The 26,362-nt window shown below is 45.3% G+C and overlaps 1 protein-coding gene and 1 non-coding gene across 2 annotated transcripts, besides 13 other annotated features; both read right to left on the bottom strand.

Moving 5' to 3' along the window:
• Positions 1–15,320: part of a biological region, named in NCBI's record as "3p25 BRK1 Alu-mediated recombination region", that runs on past the window's edge. NCBI's record gives its function as "recombination_partner: LOC107303340 | LOC107303341 | LOC107303342".
• Positions 1,109–1,391: a mobile genetic element, noted in NCBI's record as "direction; forward".
• Positions 1,172–1,372: a non allelic homologous recombination region, noted in NCBI's record as "AluSq2 recombination sub-region, recombines with the AluSx3 recombination sub-region within the 3p25 VHL Alu-mediated recombination region and the AluYm1 recombination sub-region within the 3p25 IRAK2 Alu-mediated recombination region". NCBI's record gives the evidence for it as "EXISTENCE:nucleotide sequencing assay evidence [ECO:0000219][PMID:19280651]".
• Positions 1,864–1,967, bottom strand: LOC124906357 (small nucleolar RNA U13). Its single transcript, XR_007096325.1, has one exon. It is a non-coding gene; the product is annotated as a small nucleolar RNA U13 (small nucleolar RNA).
• Positions 3,745–3,905: a mobile genetic element, noted in NCBI's record as "direction; reverse".
• Positions 3,763–3,765: a non allelic homologous recombination region, noted in NCBI's record as "FLAM_C recombination sub-region, recombines with the MLT1H recombination sub-region within the 3p25 VHL Alu-mediated recombination region". NCBI's record gives the evidence for it as "EXISTENCE:nucleotide sequencing assay evidence [ECO:0000219][PMID:19280651]".
• Positions 4,238–4,535: a mobile genetic element, noted in NCBI's record as "direction; forward".
• Positions 4,320–4,325: a non allelic homologous recombination region, noted in NCBI's record as "AluSz recombination sub-region, recombines with the AluSx recombination sub-region b within the 3p25 VHL Alu-mediated recombination region". NCBI's record gives the evidence for it as "EXISTENCE:nucleotide sequencing assay evidence [ECO:0000219][PMID:19280651]".
• Positions 7,747–8,046: a mobile genetic element, noted in NCBI's record as "direction; forward".
• Positions 7,940–7,948: a non allelic homologous recombination region, noted in NCBI's record as "AluYm1 recombination sub-region, recombines with the AluY recombination sub-region d within the 3p25 IRAK2 Alu-mediated recombination region". NCBI's record gives the evidence for it as "EXISTENCE:nucleotide sequencing assay evidence [ECO:0000219][PMID:19280651]".
• On the bottom strand, positions 8,162–19,677 carry BRK1 (BRICK1 subunit of SCAR/WAVE actin nucleating complex). Its single transcript, NM_018462.5, has 3 exons — positions 19,533–19,677; positions 9,644–9,726; positions 8,162–9,083 (listed from the first exon to the last, which is right to left on the bottom strand). Exons 1-3 carry the CDS (start codon positions 19,648–19,650, stop codon positions 9,057–9,059), a joined length of 228 nt encoding a protein of 75 aa, NP_060932.2. The 5' UTR covers positions 19,651–19,677; the 3' UTR covers positions 8,162–9,056.
• Positions 15,156–15,320: a mobile genetic element, noted in NCBI's record as "direction; reverse".
• Positions 15,215–15,219: a non allelic homologous recombination region, noted in NCBI's record as "AluSx3 recombination sub-region, recombines with the AluSg recombination sub-region within the 3p25 IRAK2 Alu-mediated recombination region". NCBI's record gives the evidence for it as "EXISTENCE:nucleotide sequencing assay evidence [ECO:0000219][PMID:19280651]".
• Positions 19,080–19,129: an enhancer, noted in NCBI's record as "active region_19417". NCBI's record gives its function as "activates an Ori minimal core promoter by ATAC-STARR-seq in GM12878 lymphoblastoid cells {active_cell/tissue: GM12878}" and the evidence as "EXISTENCE:reporter gene assay evidence [ECO:0000049][PMID:35858748]".
• Positions 19,580–19,869: an enhancer, noted in NCBI's record as "active region_19416". NCBI's record gives its function as "activates an Ori minimal core promoter by ATAC-STARR-seq in GM12878 lymphoblastoid cells {active_cell/tissue: GM12878}" and the evidence as "EXISTENCE:reporter gene assay evidence [ECO:0000049][PMID:35858748]".

Genomic DNA, 26,362 nt, shown 5'->3' with positions numbered 1-26,362 from the left:
TGTGGTGAGAACATTTAAGATCTACTCTTTTGGCTGGGCACGGTGGCTCATGCCTGTAAGCCCAGCACTTTGGGAGGCCAAGGTAGGCAGATCATCTGAGGTCTGGAGTTCGAGACCAGCTTGGCCAACATGGTGAAACCCTGTCTCTACTAAAAATACAAAAATTAGCCAGGCATGGTGGTGGGTGCTTGTAGTCCCAGCTACGCGGGGGGCTGAGGCAGGAGAATCGCTTGAACCCAGTGTCAGAATTAAAGGAGAGAAACATGAAGGGTGGGTTGACAGTCAACAGGTTTATTTCAAACCTGGGAGGGATTTCTGACCAAGTTAGGTCAGAAGCTGCACAATCTTACAGAGTTTTTAAGGATTCAGGGTGGGAGAGTTTATCAGAGGCTTCGACTGCTTCTGTGTCTCTTCGTTGTGCTTACCTGGGCGGGAGAGTTGTCTGTTCCCGTACATCTTTCTGCAGCTGCAGGCATGTCCCCTGAGTCTGCTTTTAGCTTCCCTATCTTAGTGCACCTGAGGGAAAGAAATGTGCCTATTAAGGCCCACTGTTTTACTGGGGCACATTGTATGAGGGTGAAGTTTGGCAGTTACCCAGTTACCCAAGTAGGGGGAAAGTAGACTTTCCCCCTACTTCCCTCTGTGCCCAAGCTGTCTTATCTGTGTTTTACTGTCTGCTCTTTCTGGCTGCTTGTGGTTAGAAGAGAAGTGATTTCCTTGAAATGTATGAGGCTAGAAAGGGAGCTGGAACTTAAAGTGGTGGTGTTTGTCCAAGATGACAGTGCTCCTGCTCTGTCACCCAGGAGGCAGAGGTTGCAGTGAGTCGAGATCGCACCACTGCACTCCAGCCTGGGTGACAGAGCAAGACCCCGTCTTAGAAAAAAAAAAAAAACTACACTCTTAACAATTTTCAAATATACATTATTTATTAACTATAGTCATCATGCTGTATAACAGATGTCCAGAATATATTCCTCCCAACCAAAAGGGTGACTCGTACCCTTTGACCAATATCTCCCTGTTTCATCTCAACTCCCCTGGCCCTGGCAACCACCATTGTACTGCCTGCTTTTGTGAGTTCAACGTATTTTATTGATCGATTAATTGATTGAGACGGAGTTTCGCTCTTGTTGCCCAGGCTGGAGTGCAATGGTGCGATCTCGGCTCACCACAACCTCCGCCTCCCGGGTTTAGGCGATTCTCCTGCCTCAGCCTCCAGAGTAACTGGGATTACAGGCGCCCACCACTGCGCCCGGCTAATTTTGTATTTTTAGTAGAGATGGGGTTTTGCCATGTTGGCCAGGCTGGTCTCAAATTCCTGATCTCAAGTGATCTGCCCGTCTTGGCCTCCCAATGTGCTGGGATTACAGGCATGAGCCACCGCACCCAGCGCACATTTTCTTTATCCATTCGTCTGGCAATGGACACTTGATTCCATAGTGTGGCTATTGTGAATAGTGCTGCAATGAACATGGGAGTGCAGATATCTCTTCAAAATACTGATTTTCATTTCCTATGTATATATACCCAGAAGTGAGATTGTTGGATCACATGGTAATTCCATTTTTAGTTTTTCCAGGAACCTCCAAACTGTTTGCCATAATGGCTGTACTAATATACATTCCCACCAAGAACCTGGGAGGGTTCTGTTTTCTCCACGTCCTCACCAACACTTATCTTTTGGCCATTTAATGTCTTCTGTTGAGAAATGTCTACTTAGGTCCTTTGCCCATTTTAAAATCGTTTCCTTGCTATTGAGGTCCTTATATATTTTGAATATTAACTCCTTATTGGATGTATGATTTGCAAATGTTTTCTCCCATTCTGTAAACTGCCTTTTCACTGTTTTTTTACTTCTTCTCACATCAGATGGGCAATGTGTTGACATCATAACAAGGTTTGAGGGAGGCACACCTCACACATGAACATGAAAACCCACTCATCATGCTTATGAACTATGAAAAACTCTGTTGTATTTTGTTTGCCATTCTTGTTTTTTTTTTTTTTTTTTTTTTTTTTTTTGAGACAGACTCTCACTCTGTCGCCCAGGCTGGAGAGTAGTGGCGCAACCTCCGCCTCCCAGGTTCAAGTGATTTTCCTGCCTCAGCCTCCTGAGTAGCTGGGACTATAGATGTGCACCACCACAACTGGCCTAGTTTTATATTTTTAGTAGAGACGGAGTTTAGCCATGTTGGCCAGGCTGATGTCGAACTTCTGAACTCAGGTGATCCACCCGCCTTGGCTTCCCAAAGTGCTTGGATTACAGGTGTGAGCCACCGGGCTCAGCCTGTTTTTTGTCTTCAAGGTGTCAGTTCAAATATTTCGTCCATTTATTTAGCTGTTTTCTTACTGCTGAGTTTTAATAGTTCTTTATATATTTATTCAGGCCAATTGTTAATGCTTTTCAAATGCATGTGTATGTCCATAATGTATATGTGGTGATATATTACTTTTACAATGGTAAACAAACAAAAATAACAACAGCAACAAAAACCCAAACATCATTTCCATGTACAATACAATTTTGGCCTATGGTATCTTTATCATGCAGTGAAGTTGATACCACATTGCTCCTTTGTGTATGTTGTGTTTTCCTGAGGTTTTTCTGCAAATGTCATTCTAGTGTCTTTTGCTTTGAGAACATACAGTGAATAAATGACTATACTATAAGCTCCTTAAGAGTAGAAACTGTCTGTTTCTCATTTTATCTCCAGTGCCTCACACATAATAGACATACAATGTATTTAATGCTAATAAACAACTTCTTAGGCAAAATGTTTGTGAAAGCCACACTGAAGCATTTATCATTTATTGAATTGAAACATTTCATTTCATTTATTCATTTATTGAGACAGGGTCTTGCTCTGTCACCCAGGCTGAAGTTCAGTGGTGTGATCTTGGCTCACTACAGCCATGACCTCCTGGGCCTAGGTGATCCTCCCACCTCAGCCCCATGAGTAACTGGGACTACAGGCATGCACCACCACACCCGCCTAATTGTGTTTATTTTTTGTGGTGGCGGTCTCTCTGGGTTGCCCAGTTTGTCCTCAAAACTCCTGGGCTCAAGCAATCTTCCCATCTCAGCCTCCCAGAGTAATGGGATTACACGCATAAGCCACCACACCTATCCAATAAAATTATTTTTTTAAAAACTGTTATGGTTGGAAAATGCAGCTGAGGCACAATACAAACTTCACGCTTGATAGTCGTAGCAAGCTCAAAGGAGCCAAAGATAACTTTGTCCTAAATGCAAATGTTGATGCCAATGGATACCACCACTTAGATAAATGTAACGAACAATTGCTTTTTTGCACTCTCAAGGTATCAGTGAGATCCAGGGAGAGGCTAATAGAGGGCCGGTATGGTACAGAAAACACAAAACTTATTTATGAGACTCTGAGTGGCTCTGCACTGACCTGGGAATAAGGTTTTAGTTTTGGCTTTGCCACCAGGATGGACATGTCTGTCACTCAACCTGTCTGGGTTTGCTTCTATATTCCTAGAATGGCAGGGGCAGACTAGATTATCTCTAAGATTCTTTCTCACCCTAATGTTCTGTGAGTTTTAATTCTTGCTAGTCCTAATCTTTTGCCAATTTAGTGCACAGGGTGACTTTACTTTTTTTTTTTTTTTTTTTTTTTTTTTTTTTAGCAGATACGGTGTCTCACTATGGTGCCCAGGCTGGTCTTAAACTCCTGGCCTCCAGTGATCCTCCAGGGTAACTTTTCATTAGAAAATAAACCAGCCGGGCACAGTGGCTCATGCCTGTAAGCCCAACACTTTGGGAGGCCAAGGCGGGAAGATTGCTTGAGCCCAGGAGTTTGAGACCAGCCTAAGCAGCATAGTGAGACCCTGTCTCTAAAAACAAAAAAAACAAATAAATAAAGAAAAATTAAATAAAGAAACCCCAGCCTGGCCAACCTGGTGAAACCCTGTCTCTACTAAAAATACAAAAATTAGCTGGGCCTGGTGGTGCATACCTGTAATCTCAGCTCTTCAGGAGGCTGAGGCATGAGAATCGCTTGAACCTGGGAGACAGAGGTTGCAGTGAACCAAGATTGCGCCACTGCACTCCAGCCTGGGTAACAAAGAAAGACCCTGTCTCAAAAAAAAAAACACAAAAAACAAACAACAACAACAACAAAACCTGAGAACTCTAAATCAGCCTTTCTTATTGTATAATCTAGTTGACAGTCATATGGCCTTTAGATGTTAGTTGTTGTTGTTGCTGTTATTATTGTTTTGAGACAGAATCCAGCTCTCTTGCCCAGGCTGGAGTGCAGTGGCATGACCTCAACTTGCTGCAAATTCCACCTCCAAGGTTCGAGCGATTCTTATGCCTCAGCCTCCCGAGTAGCTGGGATTACAGGCACACATCATCAAGCCTGGCTAATTTTTTTTTTTTTTTCATTTTTAGTAGAGATGGGGTTTCACCATATTGACCAGGCTGGTCTCGAACTCCTGACCTCAAGCGATCTGCCCACCTTGGCCTCCCAAAATGCTGGGATTACAGGTGTGAGCCACTGCACCCAGCCATGAAGTTTTGAACAATTATTTACGGCAGCAATTGTCTGCAAACTGCCAGAGCAAATTTTCTAAATCATATTATCCAGAGGCAACTGGGGGCCAACCTTTTTTGCAGGCAACAGCATGAATCTGAGTATAAATACTGGGAAAGAGCCTAGAGATGAACAACAGGCTTCCTGTCCCCACCACCATGTTTATTTGTTTATTTTTTCTATTTTTCTTTTTATTGTAGAGACAGGGTTTTGCTGTTGGCCAGGCTGGTGTTGAACTTCTGGCCTCAAGTGATCCATCCGCCACGGCCTCCCAAAGTGCTGGGAGGCATAAGCCTCAGCACCCAGCCCCCACACCATGTTTTTGAGATGGTGTCTCACTCTGTCACCAAGGCTGGAATGCAGTGGCATGATCATAGCTCACTGCAGCCTCGACCTTCTGGGCTCAAGCGATCCTCCTACTTCAGCCTTCCCAGTAGCTGGGACTATAGGCTTGTGCCACCACACCCTCCTAATTTAAAAACTGCTTTTATAGAGGGGGGTCGCACTATGTTGCCCAGGCTGGTCTCAAATTCCTGGGCTCAAGCAATTCTCCTGCCTCAGCCTCCCAAAGTGCTAGGACTATAGGTGTGAGTCACCACGCCTGGCCTGTACTCTACTTAGTGTGGCTTATAGTACGGGCTGAGTATTATCTGAAATGCTTGGGACCAGAGGTGTTTTGGATTTGGGATTTTTTCAGCATTTGGAAATCTGAAATACTTTTGGAACAACCTTATATACGTACTCATTGAGCATCCCTAATCCGAAATACAAAATGCTCCAATGAGCATTTCCTTTGAGTGCCATGTCAGTGCTCAAAAAGTTTTAGATTTTGAAGCATTTCAGATTTTCGGAGTGGGGATCATCAACCTGTAGTATACTTCTTTAGCTTGGTGAAATAAACATGGGTAGTTAAAGGTCTGAGTAGCAAGAGTGGAATGACAGAACTGGGTACTTCTGTAACGATCAGCCAGACAATAAGCTCCCTATTTTTTCCTGCTTCTGAAATCCACTTTAACCATGTTGGCCAGGATGGTCTCGATCTCTTGACCTCGTGATCCGCCCGCCTTGGCCTCCCAAAGTGCTGGGATTACAGGCGTGAGCCACAGCGCCCGGCCCAAGCTTAATTTTTAAAGACAGACTGAAAACTGCTTTATTATCAAGGGACTTGCAATCTATGCCTAATAGCTCATGGGTTCAAACCTCTTACTTTTCAGCTTTTCAGTAAATAAGTGAATTAAACCAAATTATAGGGTAAAAAACATTTCAAAGTATACAGGCATGAAGAGGTTCCCTTGAAGGTGCCTATGAATGGCTTAGAGGAAAATTTAAAATTTAGCTCATTTTCCACTCAAGATTTTTTTTTTTTAAGACAAGGTCGCACTCTGTTGCCCGGGATGGAGTGCAGTGGTGCAATCCCAGCTCACTGCAGCTTCCACCTCCTAGGCGAATTGCTTGAGCAATCCTACTTCAGCATCCTGAGTAGCTGGGACTACAGGTGCATGCCACCATGCCCAGTTAATTTTTGTATTTTTAGTGGAGATAGGGGTCTTGCCACATTGCCCAGGTTGGTCTCGAACTCTGTCTCAAAAAAAAAGGTAGATTAAAAAAATTATAATTAAAAAAATTATGATGAGTTGGCTGGACATAAAAAGAAAAAAAGAGCTGCCGGGCGCGGTGGCTTACACCTGTAATCCCAGCACTTTGGGAGGCTGAGGCAGGCAGATCACGAGGTCAGGAGATCAAGACCATCCTGGCTAATACAGTGAAACCCCGTCTCTACTAAAAATACAAAAAATTGGCCGGGCGTGGCGGCGTGTGCCTGTAGTCCCAGCTACTTGGAAGGCTGAGGCAGGAGAATCACTTGAACCCGGGAGGCGGAGGTTGCAGTGAGCCGCAATTGTGCCACAGCACTCCAGCCTGGCAGCAGAGCAAGGCTCTGTCTCAAAAAAAAAAAAAAAAAAGCTAACTAAAAAAATAGAAAAATTAAAAAAAAAAAATAAAGACGGGTCTCATTATGTTGCTGAGGCTTGTGCTGACCTCCTAGGCTCAAGCTGTCCTCCCACCTCAGCCTCCTGAGTAACTGGGATTACAGGCGCACACCACCACACCTAGCAGTATGGTACTATTAAGGGCACTAACTCGTTTAGAGCATATTATTTTAATAACAATAAATTAAGATTTTTTTTTTTTTGAGATGGAGTTTTGCTCTTGTTGCCCAGTCTGGAGTGCAGTGGTGCGATCTTGGCTCACTGCAAACTCTGCCTCCTGTGTTCAAGTGATTCTCCTACCTCAGCCCCTTAAGCAGCTGGGATTACAGGCAGGCACCACCATGCCTGGCTAATTTTTCTTGTATTTTTAGTAGAGATGGGTTTTCACCATGTTGGTCAGGCTGGTATCAAACTCCTGACCTCAAGTGATCCACCTGCCTCAGCCTCCCAAAATGCTGGGATTACAGGCATGAGCCACTGTGCCCAGCCAATTAATATCTAGAAGCCAATAAAAAACGTACTGAGCATTTTCACATGTAATGTCATAAAAAGAAGAGCTTTTTCTGCCTAGTATACCATCACTTTTGCCACTATTACTATATCATGCTGGTCCTTGCATATAGCAGGAACTCAATGCTTTTTTTTTAAGCACCTGTCTGCTATTAAATCCATGTGTCTTTTAAACTGACGGCACCAGATAACCTAAAACTTGAACTTTAGAACTACTTCTTTTTTTTTGAGACAGTCTCGCTTTGTCGCCCAGCAGGCTGGAGTGCGGTGGCGTGATCTCGGCTCACTGCAATCTCTGCAGGTTCAAGCAATTCTCTTACCTCAGCCTCCTGAGTGGCTGGGATTACAGGTGCCTGCGACCATACCCAGCTAATTTTTGTATTTTTAGTAGAGACCGGGTTTCGCCATGTTGGCCAGGCTGGTCTTGAACTCCTGACCTCAAGTGATCCACCCAGCCAAAGTGATGGGATTACAGGCATGAGCCACTGCACCTGGCCAAAGATGTTCGTTTCTATTCTAGGATGCACATGCTAAATCAGAGATAAATCCATATCAAGATCAAATCCAGAGCTGAAGCACAGTGTCAGCATGGTAGGATTGGGAGGAACTGAGAAGAGGAAAAGGGCAATACTAAATGAAAAAGTCAAGTCCAGGAGAACTTTCAGGGGGAAATTTGGCTTGAGGTAGACTTTTTTTTTTTTTTGAGATGGAGTCTCACTCTGTCGCCCAGGCTGGAGTGCAGTGGCGCGATCTCAGCTCACTGCAAGCTCCGCCTCCCGGGTTCAGGCCATTCTCCTGCCTCAGCCTCCCGAGTAGCTGGGACTACAGGTGCCCACCACCACTCCCAGCTAATTTTTTTTGTATCTTTTTTTAGTAGAGCTGGGGTTTCACCGTGTTAGCCAGGATGGTCTCGATCTCCTGACCTTGTGATCCACCCGCCTCAGCCTCCCAAAGTGCTGGGATTACAGGCCTGAGCCACTGAACCCGGCTATCTGCTTTTCAAAGAGTAGACACTTAGCTTGTGCCTTATAAAACTAATAATCTTCCTTGGATTGTGGCTAAATTGTGTGAATGCTGGTATTTCAAAAGACTGTAAGCATCATGTCTGATTCAATGCTGTATGTTTTATTGGAGTTTAACATGCCTACATAGTAAATACTTGGTAAATGTGCTGAATGACCAAATGATTCCCAAGATGAGCTAGTCAGCTGAAAGTCCAAACATGGGGACTTGGGCTGGTAAGCCACCTAGGCTTTGAATCAAACAGCTACATCTGAAAGTTTTATGTTAGAATAATAACGCCATGTATTACATTTCTGTGCAATAAGTGAACCCATCTCTAGCTCCTCTCCCCACCATAATCACAGCAGTCAGATAAAAAGTTGAGGAGTTTATTAGGGAAATATGAGAGGCATAGACACTCCAAGTGACAGAAAGAAAAGTCTGAAAATGTCCCTTCAAGCCAAGTGGGGGCCTGGCCTTGACCTCTCCAAATCAACAAGAAACTGGTGGGTTAGCAACAACATTCTCTGGCAGCCACATTGCCAGGGCATGAGTGTCTTGACCAGGACTGCCCCGCACTTCCCACCAAAGGTGGGGAGGAGACAAAGACTGTTCACAGAAGCAGTGCAAAGGCAATGAGAACTTTAAGGAAAGTTTGAGAGAGAGAGAAAGAAAGATAGAGGTGAGGAGGACCTTCACAAAGAGTCCCAGGCTTTTGGCTGTGAATGTCTCAAATACATTGACAAGTAGATGTATAAAATGTTACTGAAAAGGTAAAATGCCTAACGTCGTTTCCAACGGTTCCTCTGAACTTCTTCCCACATACCACACCACACCCCAGATGGCAGAGCCCAAAGGCCACACTTTTGAAAAAAGAAAAACAAGAATAAGCCCTGTTGCTCTTTAAGGAGAAAGGAAGGAGCTGAAGGCTGCTGGGGCCTTTCCCATGTGGCCTGTGTTGTGTAAAGCAACTTCCCAGCAGCAGCACGGCACTGTTCTAGGTGAGTGTCTCACCTTTTGTCACCTGTGAAAGGAAAGGAAAACTGACATTTAGATAAATTAAAAAAGATTAGAGGGGTCTAAAAAAAAATCTTTAGATCCTAGGCAGTGAGAAATAGCAGAAAAGAAGATAGCTGTGAAGTCACAGAAACATGGTTCAAATCCAGGCAACATGCTTAACTTTTCTCTTCTTTTGTTTTTTTGAGATGGAGTCTCACTCTGCCACCCAGGCTGGAGTGCAGTGGTGTGATCTCGGCTCACTGCAACCTCCACCTCCCAGGTTCAAGTAATTCTCCTGCCTCAGCCTCCCGAGTAGCTGGGACAACAGGTGTGAGCCACCATGCCTGGCTAATTTTTGTATTTTTAGTAGAGATGGGGTTTCACCATGTTGGCCAGGCTGGACTCGAACTCCTGACCTCAAGTGATCCACCTGTCTTGGCCTCCCAAAGTGCTGGGATTACAGGCGTGAGCCACCATGTCCGGCCAGTGCTTAAGTTTCCTAAGACTGTTTCTGCTTTCAGGTTTTTTTCAGCAATAAGTGGAAATGTGCATTCTCTCTGGAATGCCCTTGCCCATCAAACTCACCCGAGCTTCAATGTACTCTATTCTCCGTTCAAGGGCTGTCAATTTCTCGTTTAGTGTTGCAAGTCTTGAACGACAAGACATATCTGAGAAAAAGAGACTGGTGTTCAGGATTAATGTCACTCCAAACACAGACACAGACACACACAACACCTACAATGAAAAAGAGGAATAATACACAGAATACAAATGGAAATGGATACAGTGCTAAGATCCACTCATAGCACAGTTGCTTAGAGTGGATCTGCTGAACTTCCTATCAAGTGTTGCAAGTAGAGAATAACGGCCCCACAAAAACGTCCTTTCCTGCAGGGCACGGTGGCTCATGCCTGTAATCCTAGCACTTTGGGAGGACTAGGCGGGTGGATCACCTGAGGTCAAGAGTTCGGGACCAGCCTGGCCAACATCATGAAACCCTGTCTCTTACTAAAAATACAAAAATTAGCCAGGCATGATGGCACATGCCTGTAATCCCAGCTACTTAAGAGGCTGAGGCAGGAAAATCACTTGAACCGGGGGGGGCAAAGGTTGCAGTGAGCCAAGATCTCGCCACTTCACTCCAGCCTGGGTCAAACAGCAAAACTCTGTCTCAAAAAAAAGTCCTTTCTCTAATCCCTGGATCCTGTGAATATGGATTATACATGAGGAAACAGGGCTTTGCAGGTATGATTAAGGTTAAGAACCTTGAGATCCTAGAGTTTGTCTTGGATTGTCCATTTGGGCCCAATCTAATCATAGTCCACAAATGTAGGTGAGAAAGGCATAGGAAGGGGGTCAGAGATGAAATGGAAGAAGAAAAAGAGATTCCAAGTGTGAAGGGGATGCAATCTGCCATTGTTGGCTTTGAAAGTGGAAGAAGGGAGCCATGAACCAAGGGATGTAAGTGACCTTTAGAAGCTGGGAACAACTCTCAGCTCACAGCCAGCAACAAAACAGAGATCTCAGTCCTACAACCACGAGAAACTGAATTCTGCCAACAACCCAATATTCGAGGAACTAGACCCTCTCCTAGAGCCTCCAGAAAGGAAGGCAGTCCTGCTGAAACCCTGATTGGAGCCCAGGCCAGGAGCAGTGACTCATGCCTGTAATCCTAATACTTCAGAAGGCCAAGGTGTGAAGACTGCTGGCCAAGGTGTGAAGATTGCTAGCCCAGTGACCAGTGTTTGATTTATGACCTACACATGGTAAATAATAAATGTATGTGGTTTAAGCCACAAAATGTGTGGTAATTTGTTTTTTTGGTTTTTTTTTTTGAGATGGAGTCTCACTCTGTTTCCAGGCTGGAGTGCAGTGACGCAATCTTGGCTCACTGCCACCTCTGCCTCCCGGGTTCAAGCGATTCTCCTGCCTCAGCCTCCTAGGTAGCTGGGACTACAGGTGTGCGCCACCATGCCCAGCTAATTTTTTTTTTTTGTATTTTTAGTAGAGACGGGGTTTCACCATGTTGGCCAGGATTGTCTCAATCTCTTGTCCTCGTGATCCGCCCGCCTTGGCCTCCCAAAGTGCTGAGATTACAAGTGTGAGCCACTGTGCCCAGCCTGTGTGGTAATATGTTATGCCAGGAATAGCAAATGAATACACCAAGGCTGTACAGCCATTTACTAATGGCCTAACTAAGACTTTCAAGAGAGGGGACATGGCAAGAATAAGAAAATAATCTCAACAGGAAAGAAACGAGGCTGGGCGTGATGGCTCACGCCTGTAATCCCAGCACTTTGGGAAGCCAAGGTGGGCAGATCAACTGAGGTCAGAAGTTTGAGACCAGCCTGGCTAACATGGTGAAACCCCATCTCTACTAAAAATACAAAATTAGCTGGGTGTGGTGGCGGGTGCCTCTAGTCCCAGCTACTCGGGAGGCTGAGGCAGGAGAATCACTTGAACCTGGGAGGCGGAGGTTGCAGTGAGCTGGGATTGCACCACTGCACTGCAGCCTGGGTGACAGAGTGAGACTCCATCTCAAAAAAAAAAAAAAAAAAAAAGGCCAGGCACGGTGGCTCAGGCCTGTAATCCCAGCACTTTGTGAGGCCAAGGCAGTGGATCACGAGGTCAGGAGATGGAGACCATCCTGGCTAACACAATGAAACCCCGTCTCTATTAAAAATACAAAAAATTAGCCGGGTGTGGTGGCGGGCGCCTGTAATTCCAGCTATTCGGGAGGCTGAGGCAGAGAACTGCTTGAACCCGGGAGATGGAGGTAGCAGTGAGCCGAGATTGCACCACTGCACTCCAGCCTGGGAAACAGAGTGAGACTCCGTCTCAAAAAAAAAAAAAAAGGAAAGAAAGTAGAGGCCAAGAAAGCAGCAGAAATTATGGGGAGGGAAGGTGTGAGAGTTCTGAGCTCATTAAAGCCATGTCACTACTGTTGCTCCTAGAGGCAAAGGCCTTTCAGAACTAGAGAAAAGTTGGAGAGCATCAAATACCCGATAAAGCCCACATTCCATCTGTGAAAACAGCCAAAATTATTCTTCTTCCTCTAGCTTTTCCAATCTTCTTTTACCATCTCATTCAAAATGAAACCAGATTTAATTTAAAACAACTTTTTCTCTGCAAACTTCTGTAACAGGAACTATTCTTTTTCCAACTATTCTCAACATATGAGAGAAAAGGTATCTTAGCATGGTCATTATCTTCTACTCTCTCCTCCAACATTGTTGTTCAGTCATCTCTCAATAAACTTCAGTTTTCAAGTCTGAAATATTCGCTGAGACTCTCCCACGCAATGATTTAACACTTAGCTAACAAGTTTCCTTTTCATCTATTCCCTGGCTGTTTTGCAAAAGCGCTTCAGCATCCATTTTGACAAATCTTCCTACACCCTGATCTTGCCTCAACTTTCATCTTATTATGTCCAAATCTTACTCATCTTGCCTGCCTATCTCCTTCAAGGCTAAGTTCAAATTCTATCTCTGAGAGGTCTTGCCAGATGGACATAATAATTCTTCCTCTTCTGTATTTATCTAAACATTTACGGATGAATTTTTTTTTTTAAAAGAGACATGGTCTTGCTCTGTCACCCAGGCTAGAGTTCAGTGTTGCAATCATAGCTTACTGCACCCTCCAACTCCTAGGTTCAAGTGATCCTTCCACCTCAGCCTCCCGAGTAGCTGCAATTACTACTCAGTAGGTGGATGCCACTGTGCCTGGCTAATTTTTTTGTTTTTTGTTTTGGTAGATATGGGGGTCTCACTTTGTTGCCCAGGCTGATCTCAAACTCCTGAACTCAAGCAATCCACCTGCCTTGGCCTCTCAAAGTCCTAGGATTACAGGCGTGAGGCACCGTGCCAGCCTCTGAATTTCTAATTTGTAAGTTATTCATGTACTTGGTCTTTGGTTATGACTTCCCTCTTTGGATAAAGATTTTACAAATAAGAATGTGCATCACTACTATTTAAGATGGTGAAAAAGCAACAAAACCAAATGCCCATGATTGGAATGGTTTGATATAGCGTATTAATGAGACTATTAAAATAGCCATTGAAAGTTACAAGTGGCCAGGCGCGGTGGCTCATGCCTGTAATTCCAGCACTTTGGGAGGCCGAGGCGGGCGGATCACCTGAGGTCGGAGTTCAAGACAAACCTGACCAACATGGAGAAACCCCATACCTACTAAAAATACAAAAAAAAAAGAAATCCTGTCTCTACTAAAAATACAAAATTAGCTAAGCATGGTGGCGCACACCTGTAATCCCAGCTACTCTGGAGGCTGAGGCAGGAGAATGGTTTAAACCCAGGAGGCGGAGGTTGCAGAGAGTCAAGACTGCACCACTGCACTCCAGCCTGGGCAACAGAGCGAGACTCCATCTCAAAAAAAAAAAAAAAAAAAAAAAAAGTGGCCGGGTGCAGAGGCTCACGCCTGTAATCCCAGCACTTTGGGAAGCCGAGGTGGGTGGATCACCTGAGGCAGTGAGCCGAGATTGCACCATTGCACTCCAGCCTGGACAACAAGAGTGAAACTCTGTCTTAAAAAAAAAAAAAGTTTGAGGAATATTTAATGAAATAGGAAAATATTCATGTTACGAAACCAAATGATATTTATGTACTTGTAATTTACAATTTATTTACATGTCTGTTTCACCGTTAGAACAAGTTAATCAAAAGAAGTACATATTGCCTCTTGTAACCTTAGCATCTTGCCTGGTACATAGATGTTGACTGAAAAAAAAAAGATGGATTCTGGTATATTAGTGGAACAAAAGATTGACTCTAGTGTAACTCTATTCACCTTACAAGTGGGAAAACTGAGGTCTAGGTAAGCTGAGGGCCCATGTTGGGTCACTGGTATTCTTTCCCATACTGTGTGCATCCCAATGCACACTACTATCATCTTTCTGTGCCTCCGGGGCTATAATTTATACCCCAGGTCTCCAGCCCAACTCTGCCACTTTCCATTCTTTCACCTGCTTAAAGTATACAATTCAGTGGTTTTTAGTATACTTACAGAGTTGTGCAATAATTATAATCTACTTTTAGAATATTTTCATCATCCCCAAAAGATACCTTATACCTCTTAGTCCTGTCACTCCCCATTCTGTCACCCCTCAGTCCCTGGGAACCACTAATCTTTGTCTCTATGGATTTGCCATTTCTGGACATTCTTCATTCTTTTTACGCTTGTGCTGCTTGAATTCCCAGGTCTAGCTTAAGTATGATCACTTCAGCATCCCCCTTTTCCTGGATGTACTGCCACTTTCTGTCGGAACTGCCCAACAGGACCAAGCCTCTTTTCAGTCTGGTTTTTGGAAGTCTGAAAGCACGTTATGTATGCTACTGAGTAAGAGCATGAATATTATCTCTGACAACCTGCCATTTCCCATGAAGACATACGAAAATTATTGGGGGAGGTAGGAGAGAGGGAAGTTTCCTTCCTGGGTGGCTATTCTGTTCTAGCTGTCAATCTGGTAATGAATTAGAATTCAAGAACAATACTATGCTCCTGGCCTACATGGATAAACACTGTTGAGAAATAGAAAATGTTCAACTGCAGAAACCTTGGTCATATTTCAAATCCTAATAAGTATACGCTGGTTCAAATAAAAAACACTGAGAAAGCATTCAGCAGCTGGATAAATCTGAAACCAGAGCACAAGTATGTGTACATTATCACCAGCCTTTAACTGAAAATACCAGTTCTCGTTAGGAAACAAATGCTGTTATCAGACAGCTCCTTCTCTGAACTTAATGCATATAACTTCAGCATTACAAAAATCAATACTGTCAGGCCGGGCACGGTGGTTCACACCTGTAATCCCAGCACTTTGGGAGGCTGAGGTGGGCAGATCACTTGAGGTCAGGAGTTTGAGACCAGCCTGGCTAACATGGCAAAACCCCATCTCTACTACTAATACAAAAAGTAGCTGGGCATGGTTGTGTGTGCCTGTAATCCCAGCTATTTGGGAGGCTGAGGCAGGAGAATCAGTTGAACCCAAGAGGCAGAGGTTGCAGTGAGTCAAGATTGCACCACTGTACTCAAGCCTGGGCAACACAGCAAGACTCCATCTTAAAAAAAAAAAAAGAATTAGCCAGGCGTGGTGGCGCATGCCTGTAGTCCCAGCTACTCAGGAGGCTGAGGCAGAAGAATCGCTTGAACCCGGGAGGCGGAGGTTGCAGTGAGCCGAGATTGCACCACTGCACTCCAGCCTGGGCGACAGAATGAGACTCTGTCTCAAAAAAAAAACAAAAACTGTCTTTCTTTTGGAATGTTTTTGTAGTTAAGTCTTACTTTTCCAGCAAAATTCTGAATGTCTTAGGAGTGGGTATCATACCCATTTATTCATATTTATTCCTTTCTCACAGCATCTGACACACACCAGGCATGCTACATTTGTTGGCTCAGTACAAAAACCAAGATTTTAAAAAAACAGCCACATTCTCTATTTTGTCTTTATACTTCTCTGCATATATTACCTTTAGAACCAGAAAAAAATAGCATAAGAATAAAAAGCGATAATCTCTAACCATCTATTTTTAGAAACTTCACCAATTCCAAAGTGCAAAATAGGCCTAGTGTTATGATATTTTTGCTACATTACGATTTGTATGTCCTCAAGTTCACGTGGGAGACTGTGACTCTACTCTCACCAGCAGGAATCACAAGGTAAATGCTTTTCAGAAAGTCATTCACTATCTTAGAACAACAGTTCTCTCTCCAAAATACATGGCCCATGCAGATTCTCTGTGGTCAGGGTAAGGACTACAGAATTGCTAACATATTTGAAGAACTTCAGATGCTCCCTCAAAGTAAATTCTTTTTCTTTGAGAGAGAGTCTCACTCTGTCACCCAGGCTGGAGTACAGTGGCACGATCTTGGCTCACTGCAACCTTTGCCTCCAGGGTTCAAGTGATTCTCATGCCTCAGCCTCCCAGGTAGCTTGGAATTACAGGCATGAGACACCATGCCTGGCTAATTTTTGTATTTTTTATAGAGATGGGGTTTCGCCATATTGGCCAGGCTGGTCTCAAACTCCTGAGCTCAAGTGATTCACCTGCCTCGGCCTCCCAAAGTGCTGGGATTATAGGCATGAGCCACTGTGCCTGGCCTCAAAGTAAATTCTTTTTTTTTTTTTTTTTTGAGATGGAGTCTTGCTCTTTCGCCCAGGCAGGAGTGCAGTGGCGCGAGTGCAGAGCTTGCAGTGAGCCGAGATCGCACCACTGCACTCCAGGCAACAGAACAAGACTCCGTCTCAAAAAAACAAACAAAACAAACAAACAAAAAAAACCATTAGGAAAAGGAAATATATTTACTATTCATTAAATGGCAGTGGATCATCATAAAGGTCTTCATCCTCATTGTCTTCCTGCTGAGTAGGCTGAGGAAGAAGGGGAAGAAGAGAGGTTGGTTTTGCTACCTCATGGGTGGCAGAGGTGGAAGGGGAGGCAGGAGAGGTAGGCATACTGTATAACTTTTATCGCAATAAATCCACTTATGGCCAGGCACAGTGGCTCATGCCTGTAATCCCAGCACTTTGGGAGGTTGAACAGAGGTGGATCACTTGAGGCCAGGAGTTCAAGAGCAGCATGGCCAACATGGCGAATCCTGTCTCTACTAAAAATACAAATATTAGCCGGGCATGGTGGCACACACCTGTAGTCCCAGCTACTCAGGAAGCTAAGCCAAGAAAATCACTTGAACCTGGGAGATGGAGGTTGCAGTGAGCCGAGATCATGCCACTGCACTTCAGCCTAGGTGACAGAATGAAAATCTGTCTCAAAAAAAAAAATCTACCTGTAAATGGATCCATGCACTTCAAACATGTATTGTTCAAGGGACAATTGTACAAGCCTACTAATGGCTTAGGATGGGAAAAAAACATCCCATACATAGTCATCCTGACTCATTCAATACCAAGACAACATACTCAAGTCTATCCTTATAATTTAATTTATCCAGTTTCGCAGCCGGTGGGGTCTTTTTCTAAACTCTTGCATTGTGATAGTGTCAATCTTTTTTTTTTTTTTTTTTGGAGACAGAGTCTCGTCTTTTGCCCAAGCTGCAGTGCAGTGGCACGATCCCTGCTCACTGCAACCTCTGCCTCCCCGGTTCAAGCAATTCTCCTGCCTCAGCCTCCTGAGTAGCTGGGATTACAGGTGTGCAACACCATGCCCAGCTAATTTTGTATTTTTAGTAGAGACAGGGTTTCACCATGTTAGCCAGGCTGATCTCAAACTCGACCTCAGGTGATCTGCTCGCCTCAGCCTCCCCAAGTGCTGGGATTACAGGCATGAGCCACCATGCCAATCTTTAAGAACTTGCCTCAGGTACACCTAACTGCTAAGTCAAATTCCTTTGACTGTTAATCCTGCATTATAATTCTCTTCTTACTTAGTTGTATTTAATTGTTATTTTCTCTAAATTCACTTTCTAAAATCTTTAAAAACCACCTAGTAATTACTCCAAACATTTGGCCATTATCATCACTTTAAGGGAGGATAATGATCTAAGCTAAGGGAAGTCATTTCTTTTGGCTCCAAAAGACTGGACTTCTGTATGTCTAATTCCTTAGTTTAGAATTTTTGGGGGCAGGGCACAGTGGCTCAGGCCTGTAATCCCAGCACTTTGGGAGGCCGAAGCGGGTGGATCACTTGAGCTCAGGAGTTTGAGACCAGCCTGGGCAAGATGGCCAAAACCTGCCTCTATTTTTAAAAGCACAAAAATCAGCCAGGTGTGGTGGTGCACACCTGTAATCCTAGCTACTCAGGAGGCGGGGGCATGAGAATCATTTGAATCCAGGAGGAAGAGGTTGCAGTGAGCTGAGATCACGCCACTGCACTCCAGCCTGGGCTAGAGTGAGACCCTGTCTCAAAAAAAAAAAAAAAAAAAAGAATTTGTTGAAAAGCCCAAATAAAGTCTTTACTCTCTATCTGATCATAAAATGTGACTCTTACAAATTAGACATAAAAATATCCAAGCTGATATCTCCTTGCCTATAAAGCAAGAAAAGGGACATTTCTCCTTTGCAAATCCTAAGCTTAGGCTTTTCAATTTTCAGTCAGTCGCCTAGGCTGGAGTGCAGTGGCATGAACATGGCTCACTGCCTTCAGGGCTCAAGTGATCCTCCTGTCTCAGCCTCCCGAGTAGCTGGGACAACAGGTGTGCATGACCATGCCCAACTAATTTTTTTGTTGTCGTTGTTTTGTAGAGATAGGATCTGGTCATGTTGCTCAGGCTGGTCTTGAACTCCTGGGCTCAAGCAATCCTCCCACCTTGGCCTCCCAAAGTGCTGGGATTACAGACATAAGCCATTGAACTCAGCCACGATTATAGTCCTAAACACCCTGTATGAAAATACTTTAATACAAAAATGATGCTCTTCTTTGTCCTGAAGTTGTCATTATTTCATCTTCAAGATTAGAACTTCTTTGAATGTAGGAAGTGGTTCTTATTCTGTGTCTCCCACTATGCCTTAAGAGAGGGCCTCATATGGAGCTCTAGCATCTCTCGCTGATGCTTTCTGACAATCTCTTGCTCTGTCACCTTTGTACTCCTAAGGCCATCAGTCCTTTAGTTAGAGAATCATTCATTTAAAAATCTTTCCAAAGTACACTAGTCCCTATATCCTGTAATTACACAAGAAAGTCTAACCAGTGCCAAGTTCTGTTAAACACTTGGAGAAGAAGGGGTAGGAATCTCGATTGCTTTGCTTGCTGTTCATAAGGAAGAATTTAAGGCTGTCACAAGCAGGCCATGCCTAGGAAAGATTCTGGTAAAGATATCTTTCTGCTGAAGGCACCCGACCTGTGTTAGCTCTGAGGAATGGGCTAGAAGCAGACAGAACACCTACCATAAGCTATATATACTAGCAATACAGAGAGGACTTCCAAGGTCCTACAAGATCCTGGCATCCCTCTGACCTCATCTCCCACCACTCTCACCGCAGCAGACACAGGAAACAGGAAGGAATGGACAAGACGGGAGTGGTTGACAACGGGTCCAACTAAAAGGCACGACGCTAGAGGGTATCGACCAGATCCTGAAGATGGGGAACGGTCAACAGTCTTGAAACAGAGGAGTGACACGGTCCCGGATGCTCACTTTGAGTGCAAAGTGGGGACCGGAATGGATGCAGAGTACAAAGGAGGCAGGGAGACCACTTAGGAGAAGAACCACGGAGCGAGGATGGGGCTGCCTGACGCGTCTAGGAGAAGGACTTGTAGAATGGATCCAGAGGGATGGCAGGAAGCCATGAGCTCAGCGTAGGGCAGGATAACCCTACAGAGACTGTCTACGGGAGCCTGAGGGTCAGGGCGGGAGGGAGAAGGTGGGACCTGAAGGAGGAAGTGAAAACCCGCAACAGCCGAAGGCTGCGGGAGTCCTCTCAAAGCATCTCCCCGGCGCCCCAGCCCAACCACCTCAGCGGCCTCCCTCCTCCCCGCCTCCCCTTGCTGGCCCGCTGACCGAACGAGTTGAGAAAGTCTGCGATTTTCTTGATGCTGCTGGTGATTATCTCAATGTACTCCCGGTTAGCCCAGTCCTGGTGAATCTCCCGCTGCACCGGATCCTCCTGTCCCGCCATGGCCGCCGCCTGAGGAAGAGCGACTGCGCAGGCGCCCCGACCCTACAGGCCTCTAGTGCGCCTGCGCTGCCAGGCCACACCCATCCTCTTGAGCACCCACGAATTCTCGGGCACTATGATAGGCCTGTGCAACGTCACGTCCTCGCCGGCGTTTGCTCTCTACTCCCACGCTATAGAACACAGAAGCCTGGACGCCGGCGGCGAGGTTGTAGTGCACGCGCGTTATGGTCGTTACACGGCGCGTGGGGTCTTGCCGTCTCCCTCAACTGCTCCAGGCTCAGGTTGCGCACTCAGTGTCCGCAGTGAGATGGGCACAGTCGATTAAATCACATTAAATACAAGTCTTTTTTTTTTTTAGACGGAGTCTAAAAAATAATATGGTCATAAATAGCTGGGCACACTGCAAACTGGAACAGTCCCTTTCAGAAGGAAATTTGTGTTTTTGTGTTGTTTTTTGAGACAAGGTTTTTTCTTGTTTTTTGTTTTTTTGAGACGGAGTCTTGCTCTGTCGCCCAGGCTGGAGTGCAGTGGTGTGATCTCGGCTCACTGCAACCTCCGCCTCCCAGGTTCAAGCTATTCTCCTGCCTCAACCTCCCGAGTAGCTGGAATTACAGGCGCACACCACCACGCCCGGCTAATTTTTTTGTATTTTTAGTTGAGATGGTGTTTCACCATGTTGGCCAGACTGGTCTCGAACTCCTGACTTCAGGCAATCCGCCCGCCTCGGCCTCCCAAAGTGCTGGGATTACAGGTGTGAGCCACCTCGCCCAGCCTGAGACAAGGTCTTACTGTCGCCCAGGCTGGAATGCAATGGCATGATCATGGCTCACTGCAGCCTCGAACTCCTGGGCTTGAACTCCTGGGCTCAAGCTATCCTCCAGCCTCAGCCTCTGGTGTAGTTGGGACTACAGGCTCACGTCACCACGCCTGGCTAATTTGTGTATTTTTTGTAGACACGGGGTTTCACCATGTTGGCCAGGCTGGTCTCGAACTGACAGGTGATCTACCCACCTCGGCCTCCCAAAGTGCTGGGATTATACGCATGAGCCACCATGCCCGGCCTATTATGCAGTCATTTAAATGCTAATTATGAACACAAGCAACATGAAAACACATACAATAAATTGAGGGGAAAAACAAAATACCCTCCCTCCCTCCCTTCCTTCCTTCCTTTTCTTACTTTTTTTTTTTAAGACAGAGTTTCTCTGTTAATGCCCAGACTGGAGTGCAATGGCACGATCTTGGCTCACTGTGACCTCTGCCTCCCGGGTTCAAGTGATTCTCCTGCCTCAGCCTCCCAAGTAGCTGGGATTACAGGTGCCCGCTACCACACCTGGCTATTTTTTGTATTTTTTAGTAGAGACGGGGTTTCAGCATGTTGGTCAGGCTGGTCTCCAACTCCTGACCTCAAGTGATCTGCCCACCTCGGCCTCCCAAAGTGCTGGGATTACAGACATGAGCCACCCTGCCTGGCCCACATTTTTCTTTAATTGCAACTATGGAAAAATGTATGTTTGAGGACAAGAAGGATCTACAAAAAAAGTCACTATCTGCTTTGCTAAGGTAGTGGAATATGAACAACTTTATTCTCATTTCAGGGAATACTTACAATCTGGCATGCAGTAAATGCTCTTTTTTTTGAGACAGTCTTGTTCTGTTGCTCTGGCTGGAGTGCAGTGGCTCGATCTCGGCTCACTGCAACCTCTGCCTCCCGGGTTCAAGCAATTCTGCCTCAGCTTCTCAGGTAGCTGGGACTACAGGCGCACACCACCACACACAGCTAATTTTTTTTTTTTTTTACCAGAGATGGGGTTTCACCATGTTGGTCAGGCTGGTCTCAAACTCCTGACCTCAGATGATCTACCTGCCTCAGCCTCCCAAAGTGTTGGGATTACAGGTGTGAGCCACTGTGCCCGGCCAGTAAATGCTTTTTATTAAAAAGAAAAAATGTGGCTCAGTGGCTGGGTGTGTGGCTCACATCTGTTAATCCCAGCACTTTGGGAGCCTAAGGCGGGCGTATTGCTTGGGGCCAGGAGTTCGAGACCAGCCTGGCCAACACAGTGAAACCCTGTCTCTGCAAAAAATAGAAAAATTAGGCATGGTGGCATGTGCCTGTAATCCCAGCTACTTGGGAGGCTGAAGTGGGAGGATCACCTGAGCCGAGGGAGGTCAAGGCTGTAGTGAGCAGTGATTGCACTCTTGCACTCAAGCCTGGGTGACAGAGTGAGACCCTGTCTCAAAAAAAAAAAAAAAAAAAGTGGCTGAAGAGTCAGATTACTACCAGTATTAGCATTAACTGGGAAGAAACCATTACTAACAGTTATTTACCCCAGTAGAGAATTTTATAACCTATAAAGATGCTTTTATAGCTATTACCTTACTGGACCCTCACAAACCCTGTGGAAGGAAGCCAGGAAGAAGTTTCTCATTTGAAAATAAAAAATCAGAAATCTGATGTTCAAGGTAACAAAGCCGATTAAAAGGTAGACCCTAACCAGCTGATTCCAGACTTCATTATCTCTTCACTATACCGCTCTGAAAACAGGTTAAAGTCTGTCTGAGCTCTCCTATGAATACATGTAAATGATTTTTTTTTTCCAGACGGAGTTTCGCTCTTGTTGCCCAGGCTGGAGTGCAATGGCGCCATCTTGGCTCACCGCAACCTCCGCCTCCCGGGTTCAGGCGATTCTCCTGCCTCAGCCTCACGAGTAGCTGGGATTACAGGCATGTGCCAGCACGCCTGGCTAATTTTTTTTTTGTATTTTTATTAGAGATGGGGTTTCTCCATGTTGGTCAGGCTAGTCTTGAACTCCCGACCTCAGGTGATCCACCTTCGTCGGCCTCCCAAAGTGCTGGGATTACAGGCATGAGCCACCACGCCCAGCCTACATATAAATGATTTCTAAAATAAATAATAGATATAGAGAATTAGGGAAGCCTAAGCATGCAGTAGGCTATCTGCTGCTCAAGGCCCTGTATCCTAAGTGATGCTGTTGAAGTGGCATTTTGCTTAGATATCACAAAGTCAGATAGACCTGCTTTTCCTTTAAAGGTATTGCATCAGCCGGGCATGGTGGCTGTAATCCCTGTAATCCCAGCACTTTGGGAGGCCGAGGCAGGTGGATCATCTGAGGTCAGGAGTTTGAGACCAGCCTGGCCAACTTGGTGAAACCCTGTCTCTACTAAAAATACAAAAAAAAAAAAAAAATTAGCTGAGGGTAGTGGCAGGCGCCTGTAATCCCAGCTACTAGGGAGGCTGAGGCAGGAGAATTGCTTGAACCTGGGAGGCGGAGGGTGCAGTGAGCCGAGATCGCACCATTGCACTACAGCCTGGGTGACAACGGTAAAACTCTGTCTCAAAAAAATAAAATAAAAAATAAAGGTATTGCACCATGGTTTGAAATCTTAAATCTACCATCCAGGAGTCATTTCACCTCTCTGAGCTTTGGTTTCTTTATGTATAATTCAAGGATAACAACACTGATGAATTAGGATTGTTGGAGGATTATGTGAGAAAGTATAAATAAAACACTAAGCACAATGTCTAGCTCTTCATAAAGCATGCACTCAGGATCAGTTTATATTTTCTTATTATGCAGACGGCAGAAAACTGTATCCAACAATTTTTTTTTAATGAACATCTTCCATGGACAGGTCAGACTCAAGTCTTGTCCTTTTGGTTGACTTTCTATACACCTGTTCCAGAATCTCCCTTGTAATTCTAGATGACTCAAGGATATGATGCTGTTCTTGAGTGAAGATGGTTCCTTTGGACCTCAGGAGCCTTTTCCTAAACGCTTTACAGAGCTTGCTGTCAGACAGTCCTCTAGTTATGGGTTTGCTAGCATGATAGTTCTTTTTTTTTTTTTATTTTTGAGACGGAGTTTTGCTCTTGTTGCCCAGGCTGGAGTGCAATGGCATGGCATGATCTCGGCTCACCGCAACCTCCACCTCCCAGGTTCAAGCGATTCTCCTGCCTCAGCCTTCCCAAATAGCTGGGATTATAGGCATGTGCCACCAAGCCTGGCTAATTTTGTATTTTTAGTAGAGATGGGGTTTCTCCATGTGGGTCAGGCTGGTCTTGAACTCCCGACCTCAGGTGATCCGCCCACCTCTGCCTCCCAAAGTGCTGGGATTACAGGCGTGAGCCACCGTGCCTGGCCGATAGTTCTTCATTGTAGGAATTGTTTCTGATGAGTGACACAGGGCTGCAGAGGCCAGCTTTGGAAATGTTGTTGATGCAACAAGGAGTGCTACAGTTAACATACGGAAACCAGGTCCCTGTCTTTACTTTTTTTTTTTTTTTTTTTTGAGACAGAGTCTCATTCTGTTGCCCAGGCTGGAGTGCAGTGGCGCGATCTTGGCTCACTGCAACTTCTGCTTCCTGGGTTCAAGCAATTTGCCTGCTTCAGCCTCTTGAATAGCTTGGATTACAGGCATGTGTCACCATGCCCGGCTAATTTTTGTATTTTTTGGTAGAGACAGGGTTTCGCCATGTTGACCAGACTGGTCTCAAATTCCTGACCTCAACTGATCCGCCTGCCTCAGGCTCCCAAAGTGCTGGGATTACAGGCATGAGCCACCGTGCCCAGCCCCTGTCTTCACTTTGAGTTGGTCATACACTTCATGGAACTTGGGGATCTCATTGATGACTTCAGGTATAAGAATCAACGTGGAATCAAAGCTTGAAGAAATATAGCACTTGTATTAAGCCTGCTCATTTGAGCCTCTTTTGCAGTCATATGCACTTGGACCATCACTGGCACAGCTGGCCCTGTTAAGTCAGTATTTCAAATTCCTACTAACACTTTGTGACACCATGTTTGTGCCACAATAAATGTAACATGTGCTGAGACATCTAAGGATAGATACAGCTTGTGCACCATAGCAATGTTGCTGCCTGCTTTGAAAGCATTGAATCAGCTTTTGGCAGAGTAAATGTGGCTATTGTCATGAGAATCCACGAACAGTGCAACCAGAATGTTGAGCACTGGATGATACAGATCACATTCTGGTTTTCCATATGGAGCATGCTATCAGACTTGGAGGTGATGGTGAATGGCACTTCTGAGAACACATCCTTTAGAGCTGGGCAGACTGCACAGGGGACTATTGTACAAATTCTTTTTTTTTTTTTTTTCCCAGACGAAGTATCGCTCTGTCGCCCAGGCTGGAGTGCAATGGCACGATCTCGGCTCACTGCAACCTCCGCCTCCCGGGTTCAAGCGATTCTCCTGCCTCAGCCTCCCGAGTAGCTGGGATTACAGGCGCCCACCATCACGCCTGGCTAATTTTTGTATTTTTAGTAGAGATGGGATTTCACCACGTTGGCCAGGCTGGTCTTGAACTTGTGACCTCAGGTGATCCACCCGCCTCGGCCTCCCAAAGTGTTAGGATTGCAGGCGTGAGCCACTGCACCCAGCCCAAATTCTTATAACAGTATGAAGCTCTATCTATCCAATAATTTTTAAACATACAATTTTGCATTGAGGACTTTCATTTAAAAAACAAAACAAAACAAAAACCACTGTGCAATTAAAACCTAAATGAAAACGACTGTTTTCTTTTAAAATAAAAATGTCAGCCGGGCTCGGTGGCTCAAGCCTGTAATCCCAGCACTTTGGGAGGCCGAGGCGGGCGGATCACGAGGTCAGGAGTTCGAGACCATCCTCGCCAACATAGTGAACCCCGTCTCTACTAAAAATACAAAAAAATTAGCCGGGCGTGGTGGCTGGTGCCTGTAGTCCCAGCTACTCAGGAGGCTGAGGCAGGAGAATGGTGTGAACCCGGGAGGCAGAGCTTGCAATGAGTGGAGATCACGCCACTGCACTCCAGTCTGGGTGACAGAGTGAGACTCCATCTCAAAAAAAAAAGTCTTTTTTATTCAAGAGGGAAATAAAGCCAGTGTGGTGGCTCACGCCTGTAATCCCACCACATTGGGAGGCCGAGGTGCACAGGTCACGAGGTCAGGAGTTCGAGACCTGCCTGGCCAACATGGGAAACCCCGTCTCTACTAAAAACACAAAAATTAGCTGGGCCTGGTGGCACGCGCCTGTAATCCCAGCTACTCGGGAGGCTGAGACAGGAGAATCGCTTGAACCCAGGAGGTGAAGGTTGCAGTGACCCAAGATCAAGCCACTGCACTCCAGCCTGGGTGACACGGTGAGACTCCGTCTCAAAAAAAGAAAGAAAAAAAAAGAGGGAAATAAAAATGAACTAACTGGGGAAAAAAGTTTTGTAATTCAAAATCATTTGTGTCTCTTCCAAGTCTCACTATTCTGTGCCTCTCTCTTCATGTTCTGACCCGACATGCCCTCCAGACTCTTCTCCACTTACCTCTTCTTCCAAAAGGTGCACATGTACACACAGTGGGTGTGTGTCTTCTAAATCAGGATCTTGCCTGACTCTATTCTCAGACCCTCAGTCTTTCTCCATCAGCTTTACCCAAAAAACCAGAACAAAGGTGACAAGTCTTATTTGTGGTGTGTGTTCTATAGTTTGTAAAATGCAAGGGCAATTCTGGGTGTACAAGGGAAGGCCAAGTAGGCCATTAGTTACTTCCTCCCACAAATACTGCACACTGCCAGACATGGCAATAGCCAGGTACTGGGAATACAGACATCAGCTGGGTAGACTCCTCCCTTCCCTCAGCCATCCAGGGTCATTATTTTAAGTGATGATTACAAAGTTGTCAAATCACTCCTTCACTAAT

Source organism: Homo sapiens, chromosome 3 (assembly GCF_000001405.40).
Source record: "Homo sapiens chromosome 3, GRCh38.p14 Primary Assembly".
Classification (NCBI taxonomy): Eukaryota; Metazoa; Chordata; class Mammalia; order Primates; family Hominidae; genus Homo; species Homo sapiens.
The sequence above is the reverse complement of the archived record's forward strand: the minus strand, read 5'-3'. Positions and strand labels throughout refer to the sequence as shown.

Bases quoted from the DNA above. Each gene is read 5' to 3' on its own strand.
- BRK1 (NM_018462.5), bottom strand. From the start codon at position 19,650: ATGGCGGGACAGGAGGATCCGGTGCAGCGGGAGATTCACCAGGACTGG. The intron at 9,727-19,532 runs GTCAGCGGGCCA...TCTTTTTCTCAG, and splicing joins AGACTTTCTCAACTCGTTCG to ATATGTCTTGTCGTTCAAGA. The intron at 9,084-9,643 runs GTGAGTTTGATG...TTCCTTTCACAG, and splicing joins TAGAGTACATTGAAGCTCGG to GTGACAAAAGGTGAGACACT.